The sequence below is a fragment of the Homo sapiens genome, chromosome 10, assembly GCF_000001405.40.
Source record: "Homo sapiens chromosome 10, GRCh38.p14 Primary Assembly".
NCBI classification, from domain to species: domain Eukaryota; kingdom Metazoa; phylum Chordata; class Mammalia; order Primates; family Hominidae; genus Homo; species Homo sapiens.
This window is the reverse complement of record NC_000010.11, coordinates 15283065-15302149: the sequence shown is the minus strand read 5'-3', so window position 1 is coordinate 15302149 and position 19085 is coordinate 15283065. Positions and strand designations below refer to the sequence as shown.

The 19085-nt window shown below is 44.8% G+C and overlaps 1 protein-coding gene across 3 annotated transcripts in view; it reads left to right on the top strand.

Annotated features, from left to right (window-relative positions):
* The window catches only part of FAM171A1 (family with sequence similarity 171 member A1), a 162912-nt gene that overhangs the window by 72405 nt on the left and 71422 nt on the right, over positions 1–19085 (top strand). For all 3 annotated transcript variants that reach the window (XM_017015904.2, NM_001010924.2, XM_011519378.3), the window contains exon 2: positions 18045–18272. In XM_017015904.2, coding sequence (XP_016871393.1) covers positions 18045–18272 — 228 coding nt within the window. The remainder of the gene's footprint in view (positions 1–18044; positions 18273–19085) is intronic.

Genomic DNA, 19085 nt, shown 5'->3' with positions numbered 1-19085 from the left:
GGCTGGCAGGTGGGGGTCTAAGTGTGGTGTAAAGAGCAGGAATAGTTAGAATTTACTAAGGGAAAAGGGCAATCTTGGCCATCCCCAGCAAAGGGTGATTTAAGAATTTGAAAACCCACTTCATTAAACCAAAAGACATTACCCAAAAATTGGGACTGTCTTATGTCTTCTTTATCTCTGACTCCCCTATTTCTTCTCTAGGACCGTAGTCCACTCCTTTCCTGCCTAAATGTCTTCATAATGCATATAGTTCCTTGGGTTCTTTAGTGACCTAAGAACTATGAAAAAGGTCTAAGATTCTGTTGAGCTTGGAAGCTAATGAGCCAGCCTGGCATGGTTTGATAGAAGTTGGTGGAGACACGATACTTCCCGGTCAGAGATAAGGGATGTTTATTACTCAGAGCAGCAGTAGTAGCCAGAGTGTCTGCATTCTTGCTCCAGTTCCCTGAACCCCATTTCCCACAGGGCAATGCAAAGAGGGCCAGAGGATACCTGCACATGCAACAGCTTACTTTATAGGAGAGAAACCCTGAGCTTCAGGGACCCTTATCTTTTCCGAGAGGCACCAAGCATGCCTGCTCTTTGCTCTAGAGGGAGACACTTCTCTGTCTTGCATAGCTATTCACTAAAGAAACATCCTTGAAGAGGGCCCGGCAAGGTGGCTCATGCCTGTAATCCCAGCACTTTGGGAGGCCAAGGCGGGTGGATTACCTGAGGTCAGGAGTTCAAGACCAGGCTGGCCAACGTGGTGAAACTCTGTCTCTACTAAAAATACAAAAAAAAAAAATATATATATATATATATAGCTGGGCGTGTGGGCATGTTGGCGTGTGCCTGTAATCCCAGCTACTCGAGAGGCTGAGGCTCGAAAATTGCTTGAACCCAGAAGACAGAGGTTGTAGTGAGCCGAGATCGCGCCACTGCCCTCCAGCCTGGGCGATAGAGCCAGACTGTCTCTCAAAAACAGAAACATCCTTAAAGAGATAGCTCAGAACAGACAGCACAGTCAGTATCTTGCCCACAATATGTGCAGAAGTACTTAAGAGACCCATGGAGAATTGTCTTGCCAATGGCTTCTGCTGTTCCTCCAGCTCTCCATGTCCTTGGGAATTTTCCACAGTGGGTATGAGAGAGAGAAAAAAGGAATCTTCCAAGAACCATAGCCAGGCATGGTCAGCTCCTTCCGTGAACTTTCTCAGGAGGTCTTTTGTAAACTTTCTGTAGACGCTTCGTGATCCTCATTCAAGAGTCAAATGTTGGGAAACAATCGGCTAATTATAAAAATGGCTAGCAGTGATTAAGCTCTCACTGTGCACAGCTGCAGTGTGTGGGAAGCACTGTACCCTTGAGATCTCACTAGAGCTCCATGAGATTATTATGGGCAGGGCCACTACCCCATTTCTTACAGATGAGAAAACTCTGCTTCAGAGCAGTAAGCCAGAAAGGGCAAAGATGACCATCAACTCTAGGTTGTCAGTCCAAAGCCCGGCACTCTGAATAGCATACTATCTTTTTCTAGTTTTTTTTTTGTTTATTTTTTTTGGGGGGTGGGAGGGGGTTCTTAACTGAGAAGCTTTTAGGGGGAAAGGGTGCTTTGGAGATTTTGTTTCACCAAATAAAGTTAGTGGAATGCTTGCAGGTGGGGAAAGATCAGGAATACTTTTGTTGCTAGCAGGCACCTCACAAAGTCACCAGGCAGTCCACCCACCAATCTTACAGTGTTTTCAAGAAGTTGGTATCCATATTTTCTGGACACAGAAATGACAGGTCAAGGAGGCTGTGAACTTGGCCAAGACCACGTGACTGGTTAAGTGAGGAGCCTAGAAACCAGCCCCAGACCATGTGGTCGTGAAATGTGCATTCTGTGCCCACTCCTCAGGAGGAATATTTGTAATGTAAATGCTAAAGTGCCCTAAAATATTTCAGCTTCATCTGAAACAGAAAAGAAAACTTTAATAATAGCTTCACTGTAGCTTGTTGAATATCTTTCTTGGAAAAGATAAGCCCATATGTATATGATTTAAGCACCGCACTGACTAAACTTCAGCTGCTCCAGGGACCTTTGTCTTGTTTTGTAATACTTCAAGTGTCAGAGAGCTTCACACACTTAGGCCATCCATAGTTTTCCAGCAAGCCCCTTCAGCTTGCCTTTTTGCCCTTTTTTGTTTGTTTGTTTGTTTGTTTGTTTGAGATGGAGTCTCACTCTGTTGCCCAGGCTAGCTCGGTTCACTGCAAGCTCTGCCTCCCGGGTTCACACCATTCTCCTGCCTCAGCCTCCCAAGTAGCTGGGACTACAGGCACCCACCACCACGCCCGTCTAATTTTCTGTATTTTTAGGAGAGACAGGGTTTCATCGTGTTAGCCAGGATGGTCTCAATCTCCTGACCTCATGATCCGCCCACCTCGCCTCCCAAAGTGCTGGGATTAGAGGCATGAGCCACCGCACCCGGCCCATTTTTTTTTAATTCTAAAATAATTAATGAGTCAGTTTCTTCACTACTGGCTCCCACGTAGCACTTTCTAACTGGTCTCTTCCCAGAGAGAGTAATGACTTGCTAAAAGTCATCATCATCATCGTCATCTTAAAGCTGCTTTTTCAAAACAGGTATGTAATTTTGCTCTTGTCCCAGCCCTAAGCCCTAGACAAAAAAACAAAAAAAACAAAAACAAAAACTGTAAATGCATATCTATAGATAAAGACAGACCTGGAAACACCCAAGACACACAGAATCTTTCCCCCACCAGTTTAGGTTGCCTTGGCAACCGTTCCACTGGTGCCTTCCAACAGATCTTTGAAGCTGGCAAAGGTGTGTACATTAATTTCATAGACATGCTTAATACTGCTCATTAACTAAGCAGTTCCCAGATTCTTCCAGATTCTCATAAGGGGACTTTGTGCCTTCATGAAAAATTTAAAATATCAACAAAACTGGCCTGGCGCGGTGGCTCACACCTGTAATCCCAGCACTTTGGAAGGCTGAAGCAGGCGGATCACCTGAGGTCGGGAGTTTGAGACCAGCCTGGCCAACGTGGCGAAACCCTGTCTACTAAAAATACAAAAATTCACCGGGCGTGGTGGTGCGTGCCTGTAATCCCAGCTACCCAGGAGTCTGAGGCAGGAGCATCACTTGAACCTGGGAGGTAGAGGTTGCAGTGAGCCGAGATCATGCCACTGCACTCCAGCCTGGGTAACAGAGTGAGACTCTGTCCCAACACAAATAAGTAAATAAAATACCAATGAAACAGAAGCATGTTGGGGTGGCTTGTTGTGGGGATTTCTTTAGAAATCCTTGTGGGTCCTCTGGTCACCACAGTGTTGCATCACCATCATTTTCTTGTTCAGTGGAGCAGGGTATTGTATGAAGCTCAGTAAATGCATTTTCCATATTTACATTTCCGTGGTATAGTCACTAGATACTTTACCATATCTGAGAAAAGTGAAGATATTAGCTTTATGGATATACATTGCTTCTTATGGAAAAGTTCTTAAAAGTTGGAACTATGGCTTTTGCTTTTGTTTTTTGGAGCCATATGTAGCATCGTTTTGGTGCTTCGATTCTTATTTCTTTCGAACAGTTACATTCTTTTATTTTAAATTAGTTTAAATATTTTGGAGAAGTTTCCCGAGATAAGTACAGTAATCCTATTTTCATATAGACCTTTAAAGCTACATCTAAGTATTTCTGATACTACATCAAGAAGACTGGTTGATTCATGGCCGGGTGTGGTGGCTCACGCCTGTAATCCCAGCACTTTGGGAGGCCGAGGCAGGCGGATCACCTGAGGTCAGGAGTTTGAAACCAGCCTGGCCAACACAGTGAAACCCTGTCCCTACTAAAAATACAAAATTAGCCGGGTGTGGTGGCAGGTACTTGGAAGCCCAGCTACTGGGGAGGCTGAGACAGGAGAATCGCTTCAACCTGGAAGGCGAAGGTTGCAGGTTGCAGAGGGCCAAGATTGTGCCATTGAACTCCAGCATGGGTGACAAGAGTGAAACTCCATCTCAAAAAAGAAAAAGAAAAAAAAAAAGAAGATTGGGAGTTTTGCTGTCAAATGTATATCTCATGAGATAACTTTTTTAGATGAGATTGTAGGAAGATTCTGTTAATTTTGCTTGTGAACATTAATTTTGCTTTTGAACACTTGGTTGTATGTGTAAGTTGTACAGTTGGAGCAGGTAAGTCCAGCAACAGTTTTCAAATTATCCTGGTATATTTCCCTAAATAACCCTTGATTAGTTACAAGAACATAGCTATTTTATAGTAGCTCTTCTAGCATTATATGCATATGGAACCAGCCCTAGAAAACCTCATTTTGTACCGGGTCCAGTAATAGAGAATGAACTTCTGCTGTTTAACTTATTAGGGTAACAGGATTCTTAGCCACAAAGCTGTGGGAGATAGTTCGTATTTTCGATTTCCATTACAGAGTGTTTAAATTGAGGGAAAGATGTCCCATCACTCAAATAAAGTAGAAAATCAGAGTATGTCTATATGTATCTAACATGATCTCTTTAATTGCTGAACTTCTATGAATATTTGTTATTGTATATTTCACCATTCTTGGCAACATGGTGCTGTTGGTTGTTAAGTGTTGTTAATGGGAGGATCATCAATTTGATCCTCATACAAATTTCTTATGGGAAGCAGCAGAAATCCACTGATTGTTTGCCCAGAGATATCCTGGTAGCACTGCCAAGACAGAAGTTTATGCATTAGAGGGATAGAGAGATGCAGGGATTGGGGTGAGAAAGAGTACGTTATGTGTAAGTTCTATCAAGACTGTGATGGCAGCCAGGTGCGGTGGTTCATGCCTGTAATCCCAGCATTTTGGGAATCCGAGGTGGGTGGACCACTTGAGGTCAGGAGTTTGAGACCAGCCTGGGCAACATGGCAAAATCCCGTCTCTACTAAAAATACCAAAATTAACCAGGCGTGGTGGTGTGCTCCTGTAATCCCAGCTACTTGGGAGGCTGAGGTAGGGAGAATTTCTTGAACCTGGGAGGCAGAGGTTGCAGTGAGCCAAGGTCGTGTCTCTGCACTCCAGCCTGGGTGACACAACAAGACTCCATCTCAAAAAAAAAAAAGAAAAAAAGCTCTAATACACGCCCTTCAGAGGATGAGCAGCCGGTAGGAGCCACCAGTGTAAATAGCACTGTACTGTGGTCTCTTCTCATCCTATTTCAAACTGAAGCTGTAGCTGTCGAGTCTACCACATGGCTGCCTTTTCACGAGGTTTAACATAAGCATCAGTTGCCTGAGATGATAGAACACAGAAAGGCACACAGTGGTACTCTAAGTTCCAGCAGATTTTTCTCTTCCATGCGTCTCCAATGAGGTCATTCAAATGGATGTCTAGAGACTGTAAACTTCCACTGAAATCTAAGGAACATGTTTCAAAAAAAGAACCCCACATAGGTGGGGATTCTGTATCAGACACTGGGGCCGCAGATCCATAGTGAGGTTCAGGGCACCTCTTGGTACAATCAAGAGTGAAAGGTGCCTACGTGGAGAGGGGACCCAGGAAGCTAGGGGGGGTTCTAGTGCCCAGCGTATTCGTCTCTCTGAAGTATGCCTGCACAGTCCTTTCTCTTCTGGATGACAGTAGTCTTGGTCTTTGCGGAGGAACATCAAACTGAATGTTGTTTTCAGAATTAAACACACACAAGGATTGCCAAATGCTTTAGTGCAGCTAGAAATTGCATATAAGGGAGTCCTCAAATGTACAAGTTGTAACAGATTCTTATTGAGATGTATTCTATATAGATTAATAAAGTATATGATATATTATGAGATACATATTAAATAATCTGTTATATGTTACATAACATATAGATTATACTTTAAAATATATAAATATAATTTCCTTGGATGACATGATTGGCTAAATTTTGGGTAGAAAATAAAATAGAATAATACAAGGTGCATGTGCACTATGTGAGTCTGGAAAAAATTACATGAAAACTCCAGTGTAACAGAGTGCATCCTAATTTCATCAGATTACACAGGAAAACCTCTATGTTTATAAAAGAAGTATAAATAGAAAGCCACCCCTTCACGCATTAGGCATCCTGGAACATGCTTTATAAAGACATGGAAATTCAATGCACATGCTGATATTGTAAAATTCTAACACCAAGTAACATGGGGCAAAACCTCGTAGAGCAAAGGTCAGGTAACATTTTTACAATAACCTCCTATTTGGAAAATGTTTTTAAGTGATCAAGCAGTTTTCTGGTGTTCTATTTAAGAGATGAAAAGCCGTCGTAACTCCCCTAAATTGGGGTTAAATGTAGCTAATCATGGTGCTAAGGAGAGAGGCTCCTTTTCAGCTGGCCTCCCTGGCCCAGGCAGCCACAGGAGTGCTGGGCTACTTGGGGTGAGAGCATTTGCATGGCCTGCTTGGTGGGAATGGGCCTTTCTTCTACCCAGACCCAGTGGCCAGCCCATAAAATGCTGGGTTCCCCACTACTAGGGTGAGTTGCTGTGGAAACCAACAGCTCTAAAAACCAAAAGGAAAGAAAAAATGAAAATCCCAGAACAAAGGCCAATTTGAGGAAATAGAAAAGGGAATGAAAAGCGGTTAAGAGGAAGCCAAAAACTTCACAGAAACAAACAAATGAAACAAATTTAAAAAATGGAGCCCACAAACTTTACTTTCCCTTTTAAGATAGGGCCAGAGTTTGTTAGAATAAATATGAGAAATGAGAAGGGCAGACTGTGCAGAAAGCAGGTGGAAGCTGTACTCCCAGCTCTGGTGCCAGAAAAACCATAAAAGATTTTATGTTTTGGAATAGTACATGTTTTGGAATTTGGAGGCAAAGTTATAAACTAAATGCATCCTATCGTTTATAGAAAAATAACAAAAGGTATGCATTATTTGACAAAGTGGGGATTAAAAACAAGGCATGCTGGCCGGGCGTGGTGGCTCACGCCTATAATCCTAGCACTTTGGGAGGCCGAGGCAGGTGGATCACCTGAGGTCAGGAGTTCAAGACCAGTCTGGCCAACATGGTGAAACCCCCGCCTCTACTAAAAATAAAAAAATAAAAATAAATAAAAAATAAGTTAGCTGGGCATGGTGGCAGGTGCCTGTAATCCCAGTTACTTAGGAGGCTGAGGCAAGAGAATTGCTTGAACCCTGGAGGTGGAGGTTGCAGTGAGCCGAGATCGCGCCACTGCACTCCAGCCTGGGCAACAAGAGCAAAACTCTGTCTCAAAAAACAAAACAAAACAAAAACAAAAAACAAGGCATGCCTTCAGATGGTCCCTCAAAGTTTGTCGGCAGTTTTGTCAAATACCGACAGGGAGCTTCTTCCATGTGCCTGTAAATTATGCACCCTAATTCCTTCCTCTTGTTCACTCTTAACTCGCTACTTAGAGGAGCCTCCTCCCAAGCCAACAATTGGAAACAGCCTTGTCGCATTTAGTTCTAAATCTGTGGCAGTTAGAAAGGAAATGACTAAAAGATAATGCTGGACTGAAAGATGATGTTTAGTTTTCTACCCACAAAGCAGATGCTCTTTGTACTACTTAAAATGGACCAGTTTGTGCCCACAGAGCCACACTCTTCATGTTTGCCAAGAGCAGAGGAGCTCTGAATCGTGGTAGGGGAAGAATTCCTGAGCGCTCGTTTCTTCCTCCTTGGCTCTGCAATTGGCTGATAAAAATTGAAGAATATGCTAGAGGCGATGGCTGAATTCCTGATGGTGAAATAAATTCATGGATGAGAGTGTGTAGCAAGAAGAGGTGTGAGCACACACTCCCGGGGTCCACGACCTTGGGCAGGCAGACAGAACTGGAGCCCATGGTGGGTACTGAGAAGGAAGGTGCACGGTGGAAGGAGAGCCATGAGGTGCAGTTTCAAAGAGATGGTCCCCAGCTAGATAGAATCATGCCAGGATAGCACAGAACCCGAGCAGGGCAAGCAGCACTGCCCATCTAGCTGGTTTAATGAGAAAAGACATTTATTACAGCTTTTGGGTAGCACACAGAACTTGTGGGAGGAGGAGGCTCACAGCCAGAACAGTGTCTGAGCTGTGTGGTGTGACTCTTCCGGGAGCACCCCTGCTGCTCCCAACCAGATGCCTCCTCTGCGGTCCCTTTGGCCAGAAAAAGGCCCTGCTTCTTCATGCTGCTGACTTCCACATCAAATTCTGCCAACCAGAATGAGCAGAGCCACAGCTTAGCAGAACCGCAGCCCATTTTTTCTCCTTCTTAGCTACAGGGGAGGCTGGGAAAATGAGCATCTGGTATTCCTCAAAGGGAGGAAGACTATTTCAGAAGGTGCCACAAAGACTCATCTGCCCGTGGTACCCACCCTTCCAGCACCAGCTTCAATTTCATCTCTTCCAAGAAGCATTATTCCTCCCTGACCTCCGTAAACCACAATCAGGGCCAGTTTGCATGCAGTGAGTACCCAGATAGCCACGACCCTTCATAGTATCAGTGTTCACACCATACCCTTCCTTAAATCTTTTGATGATCCCCCCCACCTCTATGAATGCATTCAGATCTTGTTTGCATCTTTGATTCTGTTTTTGCATGGAAACTCCAAATCAGATTAACCTCATCTTTGCTATATATATATATATTTTTTTTTTACAGGTTCCTAGCCAGTTTCATTCTTTTTGCTTTCTGGCACATTTGTTGGTCTTTCCTCCCCGCAAAACCGTAAACTCCTTAAAAACAGGAGGCATGTCTTTTTTTCTCCTTCTTTTTTAATCTCCCTGCAGTACCTTGTATCATGCTAAGCATATAGCAGCTGGTCAATAAATATTTTCTGATTATTTACAGTTAGTTACATGGATTGATTAATACTTTTCAAATAGATCTCTATATTATCTATTTTTAAAGTAGTTATAAGAAATAAATGGAACAACAACAAAATACCAGGAATACTTAGGCCATGGATCAGAAGATACCCAGAAATGCCTACTCGTTTTAGAGATTAATTCAGCATCTACATTAGGTGACTACTGTGTGCCAGACATTATTCTATATGCTTAGGATGTGTGAATGAAGAAGAAAACAGAAACACAAAATAACTGTCTCAAAGTTTCCATCTGGTAGAGTTTAATAATAAACATATGAGTTATGAGCATGTTATAATTAATCAATGTCACGCATAAAAAGCAGAAGCAGAGCAGGAGAATATCAGAAATTTGGGGTGAGGCTGGGATCGACGTTTTAGACAGAATAGTAAGAATTATTTTTAAAAATGTTTTTAGGTAATCAAAAAAAATTGAATAAGTGCTGGGTATTAGATGATATAAGGAGATTATTACTTTAGTTAGGCATGATAATTGTGTTTTGGTGGTGGTTTAAAAGAAATCCTTATCTGTTTTAAGTGGGAATATTTATGGTGGTCGGTGCAGTGGCTCACCCCTGTAATCCCAGCATGTTGGGAGGACGAGACGGGTGGATTGCTTGAGTCCGGGAGTTCAAGACCAGCCCGGGCAATGTGGCAAAACCCGCATCTCTGCTAAAAATATAAAAAGTTAGCCTGGCATGGTGGTGGCATGTCCCTGTAATCCCACCTACATGGGAGGCTGAGGTGGGAGGATCACTTGAGCCCGGGTTGGGGAAGTTACAGTGAGCCAAGATCGTGCCACTGCACTCTAGCCTGGGTAATAGAGCCAGATCCTGTCTCAAAAAACAACAGCAAAAAATTTCCAGGGAAATAATATAACCTAATATGATATCTGGAATTTGCTTCAAAATGTTTCAGCAAAAAAGTGGGGATGGTGGGAGCAATGCATGAAAGAAAGAATGGCAGAAAGATGACACTATTTGAAACTTCCTATCAGGACAGGTTTGGGAGGAAGGTCCTTGTACTGTTCTTTCTACTTTTATGTTTCTGTGTTCTGAAAGTTTGTTTTCCCCTCAAGTTCACATATGGAAATCTTAACCCCCAAGGTGAAGGTATTAGGAGGTGGGGTCTTTTGGGAGGACATCAGGTCATGAGGGGGGAGCCATTGTGCATGGGATTAGTGTGCTTGAGAGACCCCAGAGAGCCCCCTCATCCCTTCCACCACGTGAGGATGCAGTGAAAAGGTGAGCCCTCACCAGATACCTAATCTGCCCTAACCTTGGACTAACCAGCTACCTGAACTTAAGAAATACATTCCTGTTGTTTTTTAGCTTCCCAGTTTATGGGGTTTTGTTATAGCAGGCTAAACAGACTAAAATATATGCATTCTAGAATTTCCATGTTGAAAATTTTTAAAAAAGAGTGACAGTGATAGGATAGCCTCATCAAGGAGGTGGTACTGAAACAAAGACAGGGAGGTGTGGGTCTCAGCCGCATGGCTGGGTATCTGGGGGAGAGTGCGCCAGGCCAGGGCACAATTGGAGCAGAGCACGTTCACCGTACCTGGCCTCCCTGCAAGTCCCTGAATGGGGAAAGTTTAGCAAGTGAGGGCAGGAGGTGATACAGCTGGGGAGGAGGGGTGGGAAGAGATCAAACAGGGCCTTTTAAGCCACTGAAGGACTTGAGTGAAGGCCTGATCCACAAGGGCTGTGAAGACACCACTTCAGAGTCACGCTCAGGTAGATTTTCCTTGGGAGTTCATTGAGCCATTTGGATACCATGGATTTCTTGACTCAGATTCGGAGATCAGAATTGTCCAAAGGAACTTTCTGCAATGATAGAAATATCCAGTCTGCACTCTCCGACGCAGGAACCGCTAGCCAGTCACGGCTGTTGAGCGCTTACAATGAGCCTAGTGTTACCAAGGAGCTCGATTTTTAAATTAATTTAATTTTAATTAATTTAAACAAGTGTATATGCTCACATGTGGCTGATGGCCCCTATATCAGGTAGTGTTGTGTTAAGAGATGGTTAGTTTCACCCCAGCATTCATTTTGCAAACTTTTATTGACCACCTGCTGGCTCTAGGTACCAGCTAGGCCTCACAGTTATAAATTGAATTTTTTAAAAATAAGCCCCTATTCTTGAGGGGCTCATGGGCCACCCCAGACCCTCTAAAATAGTGGTATGGCCGGACGTGGTGGCTCATGCCTATAATCCCATCACTTTGGGAGGTTGAGGCAGGAGGATCGCCTGAGCCCAGAAGTCTGAGACCAGCCTGGGCAACAGGGCAAAACCCTGTCTCTACAAAAATACAAAAATTAGCTGGATGTGGTGGTGCATGCGTGTGGTCCCAGCTACTTGGGATGCTGAGGTGAGAGGATCGCTTGAGCCTGGGAGGTCAAGCCTGTAGTAAGCTAAGACTCTAAACAAAACAAAACGGCGGTACATGGGTGGCCCAGACCCCTCATCTTCAGTCACAAGGGCCCCTGCACAAAGCTCTCTCCGTGGGAGTTTTAATTCAGTGGTAAACAACCTGGTCGTTCTCATCTCAGGACACCCCTTTGCCTGGCTGGTCCCTGTGTCTCCTCCAGGCCTAAGCTAAAATGACACCTCCTCAAGAAGGCCTCCCCTGACCACCCAGTTGAAAATAGGTTCCCCGTTCTGCCTTGTGTCACCCAGTTTTCCTTGGGGCACTTCTTCCAGTTCAGAATGACACTTCAGTATGTATTTAATCAATAAAGCTAAAGCTCCTGAGGGTCAGGGGTCTGGTCTCTGTTGTACACCCCCACAGTTGGCCCAAGGTGAAACAGACAGAAATGGAAATGGACAAGAAACAGAGACCATGTGTCTGGAGAGCTTCAGGGAAATGCAGGGTTGCTGAGTCCGGCCAGAGTACTTTCTTGAATCCACCTTACTGCAGCCTTTTAAAGGAAAAAGAGGAATTAGCAACATGGAAGGGAAGTGTAGAAAAACATTGCCTTCAAAGGCAATAAGCTGTGGCAGGAAGGAACAGGAAGGAGGAGCCGAGGGCAGGGGATGGGGTCAGGTGGGGTGGCTGGTGCAGGACAGGAGGCTTCTGGGATGGATCCTGTCCCTTGAGTGTGGTGGCTTTTTTTTTTTCACTCTGTCATCCAGGCTGGAGTGCAATGGCGTGGTCTCGGTTCACTGCAACCTCTGCCTCCTGGGTTCAAGCAATTCTCCGGCCTCAGCCTCCCAAGTAGCTGAGACTACAAGCGTGTACTACCACACCCAGCTAATTTTTGTATTTTTAGTAGAGACGGGGTTTCACTATGTTGGCCGCACTGGTCTCAAACTCCTGACCTCGTGACCCGCCCGCCTCGGCCTCCCAAAGTGCTGGGATTACAGGCGTGAGCCACATGGCCTTCCTTTTTCTCTAAAGGGCCAAAAGTAGTGAGTTCAGGCTTTGCAGCCCTTATGGTCTCCGTGGCAACTTCTAAAGTCTGCTGTTGTAATGCAAAACCAGCCCATGCAAATGATGGGGCGTGGCTGTGTTCCAATAAAACTTTATAGACACTGAAATTTAAATTGCAGATAATTTTCATGGACTGTATACAAAAGCAGGCAGCAGGCCACATTTGGCCTGAGGGCAGGCCGAAGTTGCTGCACCTGGTACAGGTGACAGTGGGGACGCATCGAAGGGTTTGAGGGAGACAGGGAGAGGTCAGCTGAGTGTATTGGATAGCTCCCTCCAGCCTCAGTGGGATCTCAGGGCTCAGGTCTGAAGAGGGTGACTGTTTTGGTAAAGTTGCTGAGCAGCAGTGTGGGTGATGGATGGTGAAGGCCTGGAAATAGGGCAGTGTTCACGAGGGTACAAAAGAAAGGCCTGCTTTGAGATGCAGAGTTTGCAGTCAAAATGAGCAGACTTTGGTGATGGATGTGCAGGGTATGGAGTGAGAAAAGGATGTCCCAGTCTGGGTTTTGTGCAGTCTTCAGGTGACCAACTCAGCGGGGTCCTCAGTACTCACTGAGCAGCAAAGAGTGCACCCTAGGGCATATTTAGGTCTGGGACCGTTTATGGGGTCTTCCTATAAATGAGAGTCATGTAGTAACTAATGCCTTGCCTAGTCAGATGACAGCTGCCCTGGTTGTCATTTAGTTAGGGATAGTTTTGTTTGCGGTTGAATGGAGAGTCCCATTCTCAGTGTTATTCTATAACGATGATGCCCCTGTGGGCTGTAAGAATTACCGAATCAGGCCGGGTGTGATGGCTCACACCTGTAATCCCAGTGCTTTGGGAGGCCAAGGCAGGCAGATCACCTGAGGTCAGGAGTTTGAGACCAGCCTGACCAACATGGAGAAACCCTGTCTCCACTAAAAATACAAAAGTAGCCACGCGTGATGGCGCAAGCCTGTAATCTCAGCTACTTGGGAGGCTGAGGCAGGAGAATCGCTTGAACCCGGGAAGTGGAGGTTGCAGTGAGCCGAGACTGTGCCATTGCACTCCAGCCTGGGCAACAAGAATGAGACTCTGTCTCAAAAAAAAAAAAAAAAAAAAAAAAAAGAATTACCGAATCATACTGACATTTTGTTCTCTCTGATCATACCAAGCGAAGAACTAAACAATCTCTTTTAACGTATATAATTGTAGAACTTAAACTATCCTTCCCATATTAGAAGAAATTCAAGTGGTAGAATCTAGGGTGTTGATTAGAGTGGAACTCCGCCTTTCTCTGTTTATTCATAAATCTTCTTTTCCCTCAAATCTCAGCAGTTTTTGCCTTCTTAGCAAACAGTGAAGACCTTGTAATCCCAATTGTTAGTAAATGTTGCATTTCCATAAAATTGCATAAATCATCAATGCAGGATTTCTGCTATGTGGTTATTAATGCACCATGAGTTAATTTATGTTATAATTTAGTATACTACTTAGGTAAAGACTACACACTGGATTCAGTGTATACTGCTCGGGTGATGGGTACACCAAAATCTCACAAATCACCACTAAAAAACTTACTCATGTAACCAAATACCACCTGCTCCCCAAAAACCTATGAAAAAAAAAAGGACTACCATTTTATCCATCAATCCCACTACCGGTATCTACCCAGAACAAAAAAAGTTATTATGTGAAAAAGATGCTTGCATATGCATGTTTATAGCAGCACCATTTGCAATTGCAAAAAATATGAAACCAGCCCAAATGCCCGTCAGTCAATGAGTGGATAAAGAAAATGTGGTATATATATACTATGGAATACTTATCAGCCATGAAAGGAATGAAATAATTACATTTGCAGCAACCTGGAAGGAATTGGAGACCATTATTCTAAGTGAAGTAACTCAGGAATGGAAAACCAAACATCGTTTGTTCTCACTCCTGAGTGGGAGCTAAGCTATGAGGATGCAAAGACATAAAGAATGATACAGTGGATTTGGAGGACTCAGGGAAAAGGGTGGGAGAGGGTGAGGGATAAAAGACTACCCATTGGGTACAGTGTACACTACTTGGGTGATGGGCGCACCAGAATCTCAGAAATCACCGCTAAAGAACTTACTCATGTAACCAAACACCACCTGTTCCCCTAAAACCTACGGAAATAAATAAATAAAAATTTAAAATTTATAAGAGGAATAGTATACTACTTGGGGACACAGAGGACCAAGTTAAATAAGAAAATGTGTGTGGGGGAACCAGGCACGGTGGCTCACGCCTGTAATCCCAGCACTTTGGGAGGCCAAGGCGGGCAGATCACCAGGTCAAGAGATCAAGACCATCCCGGCCAACGTGGTGAAAGCCCGTCTCTACTAAAAATACAAAAATTAGGTGGGCGTGGTGGCAGGCGCCTGTAGTCCCAGCTACTCTGGTGGCTGAGGCAGGAGAATCGCTTGAACCTGGGAGGCAAAGGTTGCAGTGAGCCAAGATCGCGCCACTGCACTCCAGCCTGGGGACAGAGCGAAACTCTGTCTAAAAAAAAAAAAAAAGAGGCCGGCGCGGTGGGTCACACCTGTAATCACAGCACTTTGGGAGGCTGAGGTGGGCAGATCACGTGGTCAGGAGATGGAGACCATCCTGGCTAACACGGTGAAACCCTGTCTCTATTAAAAAATACAAAAAATTAGCCGGATGTGGTGGCGGGTGCCTGTATTCCCAGCTACTCGGGAGGCTGAGGCAGGAGAATGGCGTGAACCCGGGAGGCGAAGCTTACGGTGAGCCGAGATCGCACCACTGCACTCTAGCCTGGGCAACAGAGTGAGACTCCATCTCAAAAAAAAAAAAAAAAAAGAAGAAGAAAATGTGTGTGTATGTGTCGTGCACATCCTGATTGGATTGAAGTGAATTGACTAAATGTATTCTGTAATATCATATCCTTGATTTTCATGATGCTGATTTGTCCCTTTTTGGATGTTAGTTTTCTCCTATAGTATGAAGTAGCCAAGATTGGTTTCTGTAGCATTTATTTGTTCTTGCTAAAACATTTTAAGAGATTTATTTGGTACACACCCATAGCTCAGAGCTCCTCAAAGGCAGGTGAATGATTTAGCTAGGTCTAGGATTCTTTAGCTCTTGTCTATGGTTATCTACTCAAGAAATGTATTAAATCAGCATGTGGAAAAAATGGGTGAAAGATGATTGACTAACTGAAATTTGCAGTATTGAAAAGACTGCTTTAGTATCATGAGACAGCTAGTTGGCAAGTTACCAAGGTGGAGATTCTCAAACCAAAAGAAGTTCTTCTCTATATGGTTGCCCCAGTGTAGGATAGAGCTCTGGATATAAAGATGTTAATACTCAGGCCAGGCGCGGTGGATCATGCCTGTAATCCCAGCACTTTGGGAGCCCGAGGTGGGTGGATCACCTGACATCAGGAGTTCAAGAGCAACCTGGCCAACATGGTGAAACCCTGTCTCTACTAAAAGTGCAAAAAATTAGTGGGGCATCGTGGCGGGCACCTGTAATCCCAGCTACTCGGGAGGCTGAGGCAGGAGAATTGCTTGAACCCAGCAGGCAGAGGTTACAGTGAGCTGAGATCATGCCATTGCACTCCACCCTGGGTGGCAAGAATGAAACTCCATCTAAACAAACAAACAAACAAAGGTATTAATACTCTCTGAGAGGGTTGTCTCACCTGTCCCTTTTGTTTTATATATTTCTTCTTTCTAACTCTCCTCTCTGAGCCCCAAATCTGGTATCCCCAAGCACCATGTTGGAATGTTTACAAGCATCATGATTGGAATGACACAATTGCAGTAGCTTGTGTCGGTGCTTACTGCACCAGGCATTACACTAAATGTTTCTACCTATATGTTGAGCTATGCATGTTTATCATTCCCAGTTAGCAAATGGGGAAACTGGGGCCTAGAGATGATAAATAAACTGCCCAAGGCTACATGGCTAGCACATGGTGGAGCTGAGATTCGAACCTCCAGTGAGAATTGCAGAACCCCAGGGTGTGTGCCACTGGGCAATACCTGCAAGGCTGACCCAGCACTCCTTCCTCATCCTCGCTGTCAGGCTGCTCTGTACCCAGCCAGCCTGCAGCCGGCTCATTGATGGTCACTCCACTGAGCCCCACTCTGGAAGGTGCTATGAACACAAGCCTCCTTGGCCACCTCCTCGCTTTTTGCTAGTCCTTTCCCCACCTTCCTATCCCAAGTCTTTCAGATCAGAGGCAGCTCAAAAAGCATGGCATGTGGTGCCTGCAAGTGACCAGGTGGACATACATCACACCAGCTGCTTGCTTCCTACTTAAGAAAATAGGGTTTCTGGGAGCAGGATGCACTTCTGAGTTGCTCCCCCACATAGTTCTGGAATCAGCACCCTTGACGTGATAGTTCTGCTGGAGTCTGGTCTACCACCATCTCAGTTCTGGGTTATCACAGAGTCCTCTTAATTGAATGCTTATTCTCCAGCCTTGCCTCTTCCTCAGCCCATTCTTCACCCAGAGCCACATGTTTCTGTAACATAAATTTGATCTCCACTCCCCTCTTAAAACCTTTGTGACTTCCCATTGCCTTTAGAATAAAGAATAATCCTTTTACGGAGCTCATAAAGCCATGTGTGATCTGGCCTTACTTGCCTCTCCAGCCTCCTACGCCTCTCACGCTCTCCATCCAGCTTTCAGAACCTGCCATTGTTTCTCCAGGAAACATGGCGTCTTCCTGCCTCTAAGCCTCCACACATGCTGTTCCCCCTCAGCCATGGTACTTTCCTGTTTACTCACGCATCCTCTCCTTCACTGTAGCTGTGTAGTTACAATTCTAGGCACAGAGTAAAAGTTCGGTAACTATCCCTTGCCTGAGTAAATGTAAATTAGCCATTCTATTTTAATTTTTTAGCAATTTGTAACATTCTGTTTGTTTCCCAGATTCATGATCTGTTTTTGCCAATATTCCTAACTTGACTTCATCTGTCTTTTCAAACGTTTGCTTTTTTTTTTTTTTATTCTTTTTCTAACCTTCTCTTGTTCTACTCTTTGGGTCCTCCCTTTTAACAATAGTTTTCACTTCTTTTCAGTCTAGCCTTTGTGATTACCAGTGCACAATCCTGGGTTACTTCTGCCACATTTCCCAGGACTAGAGAAGGATACGGCAGCTTGCAAATACCATGGCCCACTGTGCCCTTACTGTGGTAGCCCAAACACCATTGAAAGAGTATTGTTGTCTGGGCACGGTGGGGCACACCTGTAACCTCAGCACTCTGGGAGCCTGAGGCGGGCAGATCGCTTGAGCCTCAGGAGTTTGAAACCAGCCTTTGCAACATGGCAAAACCCCATCTCTACAAAAATTAGCTCAGTGTGGTGGCACACACCTGTAGTCCCAGCTACTCAGGAGGCTGAGGTGGGAGGATCAGTTGAGCCCAGGAGATCGAGACTGCAGTGAGCCATCATCACGCACCTGTACTCCAGCCTGTGCAACAGAGTGAGACTGTTTCAAAACACACACACACACACACACACGAAGTATTGCATTGGTTGCCCAATGTTTAAAAGTATAGAATTTTTCTCTTGATCATTTGTTGATTTGAGCAGGCAGTAGTAAAGAAGAAAGCAGTTTGGGTCAGGCTGTGGTTTTGAAGAAAATGGGAAATTGTGTGAAGTAAAAAGTAGACCTGTAAGGAGAAAATGTCTCTGGTAAAAACTGCATATTTTGAGTGTCAACCTTGATGTCCTTACAGAGCCCTCCTTCCACTTCCCATCACAGTCATACCAGAGTTGCTATGAATGTTTCCCATTGACAGTAGCTGTTCTTTGTGCTTTCTCTACCTCCAGAGGTGACGTTAAAGGTGCACATCAGCGACGCCAGCACCCACCAGCCCGTAGCAGATGCGCTCATCGAGATCTTCACCAACCAGGCCTCCATAGCCTCTGGCACCTCGGGGACTGATGGCGTCGCCTTTATCAAGTTCCAGTATAAGCTGGGCAGTCAGTTGATTGTCACCGCCTCGAAGCATGCCTACGTGCCAAACTCTGCCCCATGGAAGCCAATCCGGTTACCTGGTAAGGCGTTCCTCATCTTTCTTTAACACAGAGGGCATTGGCTGGTGGGAGGATCGCATAAGGCCAGGAGTCTGAAACCAGCTTGGGCAACATAGTGAGACTGCATCTCTACAAAAAAATTTAAAATTAGCCAGGCATCATAGTGTGCACCTGTAGTCCCAGCTACTCAAGAGGTTGAGGTGGGAGGATTGCTTGATTCTGGGAGTTCGAGACTGCAGTGAGCCATGGTGACACCACTGCAGTCTAGCCTGGGCAACAGAACAAGACCCTGCTTCAAGAATAAAATGAAATAAAATAAATAAAAACATACAGATTCCAGAACTCCACCATTCAATATGGGGAGGGGAATTTGCATTTTAACGAGCAAACGCCTCTCCCCCTCCACCAGATACTGTGAATAAAAATATTTAGCAAAGCTTGAGGCCACTGCTTTTTGATCTATGGAAAGTGGATTTGATACAGATACAATGGAGATCATCTAGGAGAGTTCATAAGAAAAGGGGATAAACCTGAGAGATATTAAGCAGGTCTTGGAGAATGGACAGGAGAGAGGGAAGGAAAAGGATGAAATAGAAGGAATGTGAGTTGGACTTCGGGTTTTCAGCTGGTGACAGAGCAGTTGGTCCCAGCAGGGGCAAGCTGTGGAGGTGGGTATCTGGCCACACCACGTTTTCCTAAAGTTGATTGCACTGATGGTGTGAATTAAAGAAGTCTCCTCCCTCACTCCCTCCCTCCCTCTGTAACTCCCTCTCCCTAGGCTTAGGCAAAGATGGACAGAGCTTTGGGGAAATGGGAGGAGAGGAATGGGTGTCG